Source organism: Homo sapiens, chromosome 1 (assembly GCF_000001405.40).
Source record: "Homo sapiens chromosome 1, GRCh38.p14 Primary Assembly".
NCBI classification, from domain to species: Eukaryota; Metazoa; Chordata; class Mammalia; order Primates; family Hominidae; genus Homo; species Homo sapiens.
In genome coordinates this window covers 165,162,267-165,174,726 of record NC_000001.11, presented here as the reverse complement: position 1 = coordinate 165,174,726, position 12,460 = coordinate 165,162,267, and the positions used below count along the sequence as shown (strand labels likewise).

Here is a 12,460-nt window from a genome sequence, read left to right as displayed (position 1 = left end):
TGTTGCTGGGATCCATCCAAACCCCTCCTATGCAGAGCACGCTCTGTTCTCATGACACGGTACTGTGCCAGCATCTCATGATGGAGAATGATGTGCCCAGCACGGCCCTCTGCTCCAGGTGCTCACACACGTGACATTCCTCCCCACCTCTGGGCCACTCTACAAATGTGCATTTGAAAGGCTCTTCCCACACTCTGCTATATTTCATGATGCTGTTCTGCACTGACCCAGTCACACAATGATCTTTCTTTTCTCAGAATTCTAACAACATTTGATCTATGTTAAGTCTTCATACACTTTCTCTGAAGAATCATTAGTGCTAGTGGTGTGCTGGCAAATCTTCTTTCTCATTTTTTTTTAAAAAAACAAAACCTGATTTGTAGCATTTGCCACTTTCCACAAGGTAAATATTCCTACCTATCTCAAGCTGCCAACAGTTTAACAACCAGTTTGTAAAATTCTTGAATATTTAACAATGGGCTCCCTGCAGAGGACAGTATCTATTTACTCCCCTGATAGAGTTGATCACTCCATTTTTTGTTTTGTTTTTTGTTTTGTTTTTGTTTTTGTTTCTGTTTTTAGAGATGGAATTTCATCATGTTAGCCAGCCTGGTGTTGAACTCCTGACCTCAAGTGATCTGCCCGCCTCGGCCTCCCAAAATGCTGGCATTACAGGTGTGAGCCACTGCACCCGGATGACTTTTTTTAAACCACCAATGTTAGTTATTGCACTTGGTAAACTGTACTGTGGACATTTGATTACTGGCACAGTTCCCTGCTGAAGGGCAGAGCTTAAGAAAGAGCACAGGCTCTGGAACCAACCCTGATAGGTTCGTAAACCTGATTCTGGCATTTGCTGGCTATATGATCTTGCTCAAGTTCTTTGCCTCCCTATTTCTGTTTTCCAATCCATAAAATGAAGATACAAGTTTTCTATTGCTGTGCAACAAATCACCACAAGTTTAGCAGCTTCAAACAATACCCATTTATTAGCTCCTAGTTCTGCAAGTCAGAAGCCTGGGCATGGTATGACTGGGTTCTCTGCTCAGGATCTCACAAAGCTGCAATCACGGTGTCAGCCAGGGTGTGTTCTCACCTGAAGGCATTATTAAGGAACAACCTGTGTCCAGGATCATTCAGGTTGTTGGCAGAGTTCGAGTCCTTGAGCTCTAGGGCTCAGGTCCTTGCCTGCCTGCTGGCTGCTGGCCAGGAGTTGCTCTCAGCTCCTTGATGCTGCTCACCATCCCTCACTGTGTGGTCCCCTCCATCTTCAAAGCCAGCCATGGAGAATCTCCTTCCATCAAATCTCTCTCATGCTGTGAGTCTTTTTAGGAAGAGCCCAGTCCCTTTTAGGGTCTCATCTGAATAGGTCAGGCTCACCCAAGAGAATCTCCCTTTCTTAAGGCCAACTATTTAGGGACCTTGATTACATCTGCAAAATCCCTTTTGCCAGTGAACAGAACATAACCACAGGGTGACATCTCATCAAATTCACAGCTTCCATCCACATTCAACAGATGGACGTTATACAAAGGTGAAAGTTACTGAGGCTCATCTTGTAGGAGTCATTCTGCCTCCTACAATACAGCTCATAAAAGGGTTGTGATTATATATAAAAAGCATTCAGACTAGTTCTTTGCAAATAGTGAATGCTCAGTAAACATTAGCCAAATGGGAGCCAAATGAAAAAAATTTTTTTTTTTCAGAAAAGGATTTTTGGATTATTTATCTTGGCTCCAGGGTCAAATACCACTGGGAGTTCAATAGATGTTTGTTAAGCGAATGAATAAATCTCTCTCTTACAAAGAATGTTATAACATAACATTTCACCAATACAAGCAAATTTGGAGGTCATAGGCTACCATGCACATTTGAAGTCTAGCAAAACTGAGGCCCAGTTTGGTGGTGACAATGCAAAGTCATCTACTAGGGATGAAGGGCACTAGATGACGAACCTCATGATTCTCTAATAGATTTCACTGCATCCACTGCACTGAAGACATTGACCAAGAATTATCTTCTCAGTCATTTTATCCAGCAAGACCCTCAGCTGCTTGGGACAAGGGAAATGGTTTCTACTATAGTGTCTCCTAATAGCATCTACCTTAGCACTAGGCAAACAAAGGATGAGTGGACTGAATTATACTAGCTTGTAACATTATGGGAGTGATTTGACTGCATGGCCAGTTTTGATGCCAAAGACAAACTACCTCCCAACTTACCAGCAAGATCCCTGGTGTGATCATTCACAGGCAAGCAGATGTTTTTAGGAGTAGACAGCCTTTTAGACACATTCTAGTACATAATTTCCCAGGTTGTATTTTTACACAAAGTCAGGTCCAGAGATATTCATAAGAATTATTCTTAAAGAATATTAGTCACTCATCTCTTTCTTTTAGTCCAATATTCTTGCCTAATTAATTGTATTTCACAACCTTTTTCATCATTTAATATACTATCTATTTTAATTTTTTATTTTGCTTGTGTTATGTCTCCCCCAGTTAGATGTAAATTCCTTCCAGGAAGAGATTTCTGTGTTTTGTTCCCTGCTGAATCCTGACTCCTGAAACTGCCTGGTACAAAGTAGGTGCTCAATAAATACTTTTTGAATGGGAAAATGAAAGGGGCTTGGGGAAAGCTGTATTGAGAGAAATTAAACTTGATTCTTGACTTTAGAACCACTCAGAGCCTTTATTATAAGAGTATGTGCCAAGACGCTCTGGGAGGATGTGGCGTAACTGCAGCGTTTGCCCTCAGTGAGCACATCAAGGAATATGGCTCTGCAGCCTGAGAAACACTCACATTTTCTTATTATTATTGCTTCAATGAGGAAACTGAAGCCTGGGGAGGGTAAGTCATTCACCCAGGGTTCCACAGCTCATTCTTTGGGCTGGAACCTCAAATCTGCTGATGTTCAGACCACTGCTCTTTCAGCTACACTCTTCCTGAAGCATCATTAAATTCATTTCTCTGTCAGATAATAGCTAATGTTTTAAATGACTACCTTGGTCCAAACATCTTTTATCAAGAGGAAGCATGAAACTTGATAGAACAGTTCCTAACTATAAGGAAGCACAAAAGATACCTAAATGGACATATAGATCAAATCTCAGGATTAAAAAAAAATGCCATTAGTCATCTAAATTCCTTCCCTGTAATGGAATTTAATTATGATTATACTCACGTGAAGCTGTATTGTCAGGAATTAAAAAAAAACATATCAGGCCTCTAAGCTCAATGATGAATTTGAAAATAAGGGAAAATGTAATGAACACAGGAAGGAAGAGAGGGCTATCTCTCTGTCTCTGTCTTTGTCTCTGTCACACACACACACACATTTATTTTACTCTTCTGCCTGCAGATTATAGGATTCTGGTGAGTTCTTTGTTAGGTGATAAGAACTCTTTGGAGGGAAGGTTTGAGGGCAGTTGAGAGAGAGCTGGACCTGGAAGCTTCCAACCTGGGTTTCTTTCTGCCTCTACTACTAACCAGCTATGAGGATTCAGGCAAGTCATTTCCTTGGGTCTCGATGGCCAGTGAAGAGAGGTCATCCTACTGCTATGAATGGTCAATAAAGGCTGAACATTCTTGTCCTTTCCTTCAATAGTCAGTTTAGGTCTTAAGCTTAACCTGTAGAGCAATAGTTCTCAAACCTTGAAGTATATGAGGATCACCTGGAGTGCTTGGCAAACATGTGGATTCCAAGCCATGTTCCCAGAGATCCCGTTTAGGAGCTCTGAGACAGGGCCCAGGAATCTGCAGTTTTAACACTTCTAGAGATTCTGATACAGCTAAACTTAATATCACACTTTCAGAAGCATTGCTCTAAAGTTTCAGGATTTCCATTCAACTTTGGCAAATTGATCGGAAATACCATCTGTATTTTCAAGATCAGGCTACCATGTTGCAGCCTCACTGCAACTTAATTGAGAACACAATTATGAGGAGAAAATTAAAGCCAGGGAAAATTAAAAAGGACAAAGAGTAAGATAGGCCTGCGAGGGAGATTAATTATCTCCAGGCCACAGAGCTAAGCAATGCTCATGGGGCTCACTGGATGCTCCTGTCAGACCCAGAAGGAGATGGAAAGGGAAGGGGAAAGGGTTAGTGGAACCCAAACACATTGGTGAAACATTTAATCTTCACAGCTCCCTGCAACCTTCGCACAGGAAGTCCTGCTGGCTTGGTATAGTTTATTCCCCATTTCCAAAGGAGAAAAATAAGACTAGTGACTTATCCAAAGTCACACAGCTCCTAAACAATAGAAGCAATATTTAAAGCCAGACCTTTCTGGCTTTGAAGCCTTTTTGCTGTCTCTCATATACCACACTGCATCTGTGTTACAGAATGCCCGTGAACATACATATGGATACTCCCTCAGGCTTGGGGTTGATGGGATAAAAAGAGAAACAGAAGAAATTGAATGAAAGAAGAGAAATAATGGAGGGAGAAAGGTAGAAAATGCAGACAAAGAAAAAATAAAGAAGGATCCGTGGTGAAGAATATCAGGATTGCTGATATTTAAAATGGATGCCAGTTGAGACAGGGCCAAAAGTACTTAGAAAAATTGAGAAGGAGGTGACATTGATTTTGGGACTTGGAATTCTCTTCAGAGTACTCTTAACTCCACAACTCAGATAAGAAATACTGAGGCTAGGAGAAAATTATATAAACTGATATACAGTGAAAATGGCTGATATGGTCCAATGCACAGGCTGCCAGGTATGTTTGCATTCTAATAGGAAAAAAAAACTACTAAGCTGAAGGAATGCATGTGTAATTGTGGAATTTCAGACTACAATGGACAATTAGGCGTGGGTAAAGTGGCCTCCCTATTGCAGCTTAAGAAAAAAAAAAATCCCACCAGATGCGGTGGCTCATGCCTGTAATCCCAGCACTCTGGGAGGCCAAGGTGGGTGGATTGCTTAAGGTCAGGAGTTCGAGACCAGCCTGACCAACATGCTGAAACACCTTCTCTACTAAAAATACAAAAATTAGCCGGGTGTGATGGCGGGCCCCTGTAATCCCAGATACTCGGGAGGCTGAGGCAGGAGAATCACTTGAACCTGAGAGGCGGAGGTTGCAGTGAGCTGAGATCACGCCACTGCACTCCAGCCTGGGTGACAGAGTTAAGACTCTGTCTAAAAAAAGAAAAAGAAAAAGAAAAAGAAAAAAAAAATCCTAAGATCTAAGAAGCTTCCAGATTTGGTTGTACTTACTGCAGAGGAGAATAGGACATTGTCTAGTCACAGGTTAGACACTTTTCCATGGGACAGGTTGATTTGTGGCCTGTATTCTGAACCTTAGAGATGTTTTCCGAAGTTGAAAGAAGGCTGATCTCAGGCTATTGTCTTCTGATTAATGACCCATTTTTCCCCTTCACTTCTATTCCTGTGCCCCTGTGCAGAAGGAGTTCCTGTGCAGAGTCATTCTTCCTCATCAGAGTAGCCCCAGGGCTAGCCATTGAGTGAATACCACACCTCTTACAGCTACCTGTGACTCCTTTATGTGGCTGGTTACCTGGCAGCCAGGGAGACCTGTGTTATCAAGGAAGCCTCCCTGACCTGTACAAGTTTCCTTCATTCAGTCCAGCAACCTCTGCAAGCCCTTTGAGGTCTGGAGTCAATGACTTCAGCAAATGGTCTTCATGCCTCTTGAAGAGGTGCCCTCAGGCAGGGAGTCTTTCACCCTCTGTCATTTGATAGGAGAAAGTTTGCCTCTCTCTTGAGCCAGCCAACTGCCCAAAGATCAATCCCACAGGCTTCCCACCTTTATGCTGCCTCTTCCAGATCCACCAAGGGATTGGAGAGTTGACCTTTTTTCTCTTTTCAATGAATGTATTAATTGTCAAATAGTTATTGAACACCAGTGTTTGCCAGTCAGTGTACTAAGTACTGTGGGTCCAGAAGGAGCCCACAGACTAGTTGAAGGGAGACAGATGAGTGAACAGGCAATTACAATCCAGTGTGTTAAGTGCAGTGATAAAAGGAAGAGCAGGAGGCAGTGCAGACACATGGCTGTGGGGGCAGGGCACCTTGTACAGACTAGGGCGTCAGACACAACTTCCTGGAAGAAGTGTCAGCTGAGCTGCATCCTGCAGGACTGTCAGCAAAGGGAGGAGTATTGGGATACGAGTCTTCCAGACAGAACGACCAGCATGTGAAAAGACTCAGACGCCAGAGAAAGGTTGCATGGTGGAGAAATTCCACATGTCTTGGCAGTTACAATGGAAAGGGTTGTATTGGAGAATGGGGTAGGGGTGTTGAGAGATGAGGCAAGACTAAAAGAAGTAGGCAGGGCCAGACCTCAAAGCACCTCATAAGCATTGCTAAAAATTTGCTTATGAGTCTAAGAGAAATCCAATGTCAGTTCAATTCCTTGTCCCCATGTCATAACCAATGAGCATATGGAGGATAACCTCCATCGCTGTGTCAGCACCAAATCCACCATGGTCATGGAGACTATCTGTTGACTTCTGAGAACCTTACATTACCTCACACCGTTCTCCCAAAAGCCCCAGGAACAAATACGGCATTCTCATTTTACCCCCATATTACAGATTTTTCAAACAGAAACTCAGCAAGGTTAACAGACTTGACTCAAATCATATAGATAGTAAGCGGTAAAGACAGGACATCATGCAGGTTAATGGCAAATAACAATCTAATAGGGCAACGAAAAAAGATAAAGAAGCAGAGTTATGATGAAGGTTAAATCTCAGGACACTTATTTCCATTTTAACGACCTTTGGATAGATCCTCACAAAGTGTTCATGTGGTCATGGATTTTTTTTGTAAAATTTTCATGAGTAAGATATTTAAATAGCAACTAGTGAAGACACTTTCTTTCCACTATGACCATCTCTGCATCCCATTTCCCCTGGTGCTAAGTAGTGCTGGAAGAGCTGAGAACAATTTTGAGGTTTGGTGAAGGGGCAGTTGAGTTGGGATTACACCTACTTTGGGATTTGTGTTTTTTACAGTAATTTATTTGTATAGTTAAGCTACTGCTAGCCAAGCTGGTACAGAAATGGCTTCCAGGAATACATCTACCACTAGAATTCCAATTCGCTGGTGGAAAAAAGATGCAGCAGGGCCAGACATGTTATGTCTGGTACCAGAAGTATATAGGTCATGAGAACAAACACGATTTGAAATAAATGGAACCAGAAGCTAGTCTTTGGACAATTCATTCAAACATCAAATTGTACGTGGAGAATTTTGTTTAATCTAAATGGAACTTTTTTCCAGGGCAGGAAAATACTTAATACATAATTATGAAATATAAACATGCACACCCACTAAACATTCTTATGTAGAATGTGCGTTTGTATGTGGATATGTGTAATGGGAATTACATGAGAGAGAATTCATTAGAATTCTTGATATCTGTGTTTGTAGAGACAAATCTGCAGCTGTTATACAAAATGAAATAAATCTGTGTGTGTTTACGTATTTTAAGCATCCCAAGTTTCAATAGTAACAAACAAATTTTAACTTACAAAGCTAAAAGAAAGACTAAATTATATTTTTATTATCTTTGGTAGAAGATGTTATAAAACTATGTATGCACACAAAATTGTATGTAGCTAAAAACGTTTTTTGTGTACATGGTTTTGTAGAGAAAAATACAAAAAGTGTATTAGGCAGTTAATTCATAAACATGCATTTTTTCTGAATTGTCTGATGTTTATTGTACTTGCCAGCTTTTAAAATTTCATAATACCGTTTTCTTTCGTTCTAAGTAAATATTTACTTTTCTGTCACATCTGTACTATGATTTTGTCTTTCTTTTAAAAAGCCCCTTCACTCTACCTCCTCTAAAGTGAATAAACTTAATCTTAGACAACCAGGGTCTGCTCTGGCCACGTGTACTGTGTAGACGCTGGGTTATTATAGTCTGCTGGGGTTGAAGAAGGCTTGGCTGAGGAGATGTGATTTGAGCTGAGCTTTAATGAAGGATGAAATTCTCTAAGTGTCCTAACCAGCTATGTCCCGGGGAATTTTAGCCATGAGAAAGTTTTATAAAAGCATACATGGATCCTTCACAGCAAGAAGGGGATCCAAACAGCCATAAGGGCTCAACCCAGCCATAGGAGACGGTGGGTGAGTCTCTGTTCAGGTGTGATGTGAAGGGAACACGGAGGCTCTTCTCACAGAGGACTTGGAACTGCTGGCCTACAATCGTTGCCAGTAGGAGGATCACTTCTAACATGAGTGGGAAAGGTGGCCTAAAGGCTCATCTGAAATGAAACCAAACCCAAACCATCACTCAGTCCACTTTCCCTTATCACAGGCTCTCCCAGGACCTGGCTGCAAAGCTCCCTCCTTTGGGAAGTTGTCCCTGCCCCACTTACCACCAACACTCTGGGTGGAATGGTTAGTGCTGACCTTCTTGTCCAGCTCTCCTTGTTTCACCAAACATCTTTTAGCAGACTCATTGTGTTTTAATATAAGTACTTTTAAAATTTTCTTGTTTTCTCCATTTTCCTTTAGACAATACACTTTTTTTAAATTGAGATGGAGTCTTGCTCAGTCGCCCAGGCTGGAGCGCAGTGGCACAATCTCGACTTACTGCAACCTCTGCCTCCCGGGTTCAAGTGATTCTTCTTCCTCAGCCTCCTGAGAAGCTGGGACTACAGGCCTGCGCCACCATGCCTGGCTGCTTTTTGTATCTTTTTTAGCAGAATCGGGGTTTCACTATGTTGGGCAGGCTGGCCTCAAACTCCTGACCTCCAGTGATCTGCCCGCCTCAGCCTCCCAAAGTGCTGGGATTACAGGTGTGAGCCATCACACCCGGCCCAGACAATAAACTTCTTTAAGGCTAGAGCTGGGTCCTTTTCAGATTTTTACCCAATGTCTAGTGTAGAACCTGTTGATAGTGGATGTTAAGCAGCTGTTGTCGATGGTTGCTAGAAAGGGAGGAAGAAGGGAAGGAAGCAAGGAGGGAAGGAAGGAATTGAAATTGCATGGGTAGCTATTTACGTCAATATTATCCATAATACTAAAAAATTAGGAACAGCCCACATGCCCAACAATAGAGAAAAAGTTAACTACATTATGGCCTTTCCACTGAGAGAGATATTTTACAAGTACAAATATATAATTATAAAGCTTATGAAAAGACATGGAAAAATTAAAATACAGGAAACTATTCATACCTTGTGATAAAAATGGAATAAAGGAATATCTGCCCTAGGATTTTGACTAAATAACAATATTGTTATTTAATCAAATAACAAATAAGCAAAGTTGTAGAAGAACATAAAAAAATAGTCATGGAGGATTCCTACCAACCCCCATCTGCTTCTTGCTATGTTATTTCTTCAAGGAAAGTAACAGTTAAGACAAAAGGAGCAGTGAGCTGCCTAGGATGCCCAGCTGACCTCTCCCAGAGTTAGGCTAGTTCCCATGCTTACCAGGTGGCCTCTAGGCTTGACAAAGCAAGTCTGCCCTGGCCACAGGTATGGGAACCATTTTCCTCAGAATGTGCCCGGCGAGAGCAGAGCATAAGAAAACCAGAGAGTGTACGAAAACTCCTTATAGTTTGTGAAGTGATTCTCCATACTTGTCAAGTGCAAAATGCCCTATGAAACATTTACAAAACACACTAACTTGAGCCCAGACCCCTGAGGCTCTGATGTGGTAAGTTCTAGAGGAGGTCTGATGGATCTGATCATCTGAGATTCCAAAACACTCAACCAGTAATTCTGATGCACATCAAATATTGAGAACCAGTGGTTTCATGGGTGGTGCGCGGTGAGAGATTCGCAGCACCTGGCATTTGCTGCCAGACGGTCTCTGATTTTGGATCTTGGCTCTTCCTTTATCAACTGAAAAATCCAGGGCAGGTTATTAAACCTTTTGTGCTTTATGTTAGATTTTTATGGAAATATCTTACTTATTGGGCCATTAGGCTCTTTAAAAGAAAATGATTATGAAATCATCAATAGAGCACACGATATATGTTCAATAATTGTTAATATTACTTAATATCTCTGCAACTCAGTTTTCCCAAATTTCCATATGGGTTTAAGAGGGTTAATAGGGTTGTTGTAAGACTTAAACACTATAGCATAGGTAAAGCCCCTAGCACTGGCCTGAATATACCAGGCAATACACAAATGTCACCTCCTTTCCATTGCCTTTTCTCCAGTGTAATGTGCCTTCACTACTTATTCAAACTTTGGCGTGGCCTCATCTTCCTCTCCAAAGTGCACAGAAGGTCTCTGGGGGAGCACTCTGCCTCCTGCCTACCCAGCGTGATCAGAGGGTGCCAAAAACATCTCTTGCCTCCAATTATGTCCTTCATTGGCTTATTTCTTCTTCCCAGCCTAAACTTCTCAACAGCAAGTCACTAGTTCAGAAAATATTTCCTGCGATCTATGTACCAGGCCATTTGCATTCTTACATCTATTCATGAGAGAGGTGCTTTGTTATTGCCACTTTATTGATAAGGCCTCTGAGGTCTAGAGGGGCAACATGACATGCCCCAAATCACACAGCTGGTGAGTGTGACAAGCAAGGATTGGCAGGGGCTGTCTGTTCTCCCCGGCTGAACTCTTTGCCAGTTTGTTATCCTGCTTTATTTCACTCCAGGCCAAACTAAGCTCCCTGATGGTTGTATCTTCAGGGCCCCCCTACCAGACCTTGCCTAAGGAGGGGCACAATCAATGTGGGCCATCAATGGAGTTGCAGGTGGGAGATTGGAAACCTCAAAGAGCAAATTCTCATGCTTTTGTGCAGCAGTATTCTTTCTGGATGTGGCACTGCTCATGAAACATGGGTGTGGTTTAGTATCATTAAAAGGGCTATGGTATTACATGTCTGGCTTTGATTTATTGTCGGTTTATTTGCTGATTTTCTTCTGATTTGGGCCAAATTCTACACTGTACATTGTTAAGACCTTAAGATGTATATTAATCTATGTGATAGGGCTACTGAGATGTATTCTAATAGTTTGGCGGTGGGAAAGGGCACAGAAAATCCATTTAATACTAAAGCTACTATTTTTTGAGCATCTACCATGTGCTAATTTGTCTGCATTTACTGTCTGTAATCATCACATCAACACTAGCAAGTAGGTACTATTGTCTGCATTTTACAGATGAGAACACTGAAGCTCAGAGATGTCAAGAGACTTGCCCAAAGGCACACAGCAGGTTTGTGGTAGGGTGCAAATATATATCCAGGGTTGTATGGTTCCCAAATCTGCTCTCACTCCTGCAAAAGATATGATTTCTCTCTGTGATGACCAGATCTTTTCTAGTCTATATCAAGCTTCCAGTCAAGTTTTGTGGTTTGGCCACAAGGCTTGCTGCTCTTCATGTATAATTGTGCACTCAGTGTTCTGATGGACTCCAAAAATTGAAGCTGAGAAGAGTCACATCGTCCTTTCCACCCAATGTCAACTCCAGGGCTGAGCCACATCCTACACAATCCTATGCAGGGTTTTGGAGCTGGAAGTCAGGAAAGAAAATGCTCTGATGACTGCAATGTTAATAAGGAATGGGCCTAAATATGATTTGTCCCGCACAAAGGCCACTCTGTCCTCGCTCAGCAGCATGGGAGTCCTGTTTCAGCTTGGGCCCGGCCACCCTGGCTCAGCCGCTGTCTTGCCGTGTGGAGCAGGCCAGCCTGCCTGATAACATCACTCTGGCATAGTGGTGCTTTGTGCACACTCAGGGCTCCGGTTACCTGGGGCAGGCAGGATGCAGGCTCTGGTGCCGGAGGCCAGGAGGGAGGCAATGACTAAGTGAAAACAAGCATGAAAGGGGAGTGTTTTGGAAACCCCAAAGGAAGCTTTCTTTCCCCCTGTATCCTCAAGGTGCTTCCCAAGGAGGCTGCTTGATCACTGCCATCAAATTCGGCAAAGAAAAGGAATTCAGGCAAGACATTTTAACCGTCAGCTGCCTGGGATTTGTGTGTGTTCCTACTCCTAGTTGGATGTGCGCCAGCCTGCTAGTTCAGACACTTCTTCCCGGTCCCTGGAGCATTCCCTGTGTGACAAATCAGAGGCAAACTGTCTTTCCAACCAGGTTTGGGTTGCCTGTGACTTCTTCATCTGAAGCCAACAGCTGTGAATTTGCCTTGGAGCACAAGTCGGATGGTTCTTCAAGCTTGCACTTTAGAGAAATGCAACCTGAGAAAGCTTTTAATCCACCTTTTTGTTCAGCCCAGAGCCTTCTCTGCAGAGGTTATGTTGGACTGGCTGCTCCTTTGGGGAGACCTGGAGCCCTTTCCGGGAAGCAGTCTGCTTCTCTGAGCCGTGGGCTGGAACCTGCAGTGACATAAAACCACAAGAACATCAAGGCCAGGGTGCAGTCTCTGGGGTTGGCCATCATCACCCCTCAAATGCCCTGTTGCTGGCCCTTCCTACTCCTCTTTGCCCTACTCACCCCAGTGCCAACATTCCCCTGTCCCCCAGAGTGTTCTGATGTGGCCCCTCTGCCACATCAGTG

General features: G+C 42.8%; 1 annotated feature.

Annotated features, from left to right (window-relative positions):
- Nucleotides 11,636–12,136: an enhancer, noted in NCBI's record as "H3K4me1 hESC enhancer chr1:165131828-165132328 (GRCh37/hg19 assembly coordinates)". NCBI's record gives its function as "activates a minimal SCP1, AML or CMV promoter by ChIP-STARR-seq in primed H9 embryonic stem cells {active_cell/tissue: H9 hESC(primed)}" and the evidence as "EXISTENCE:reporter gene assay evidence [ECO:0000049][PMID:30033119]".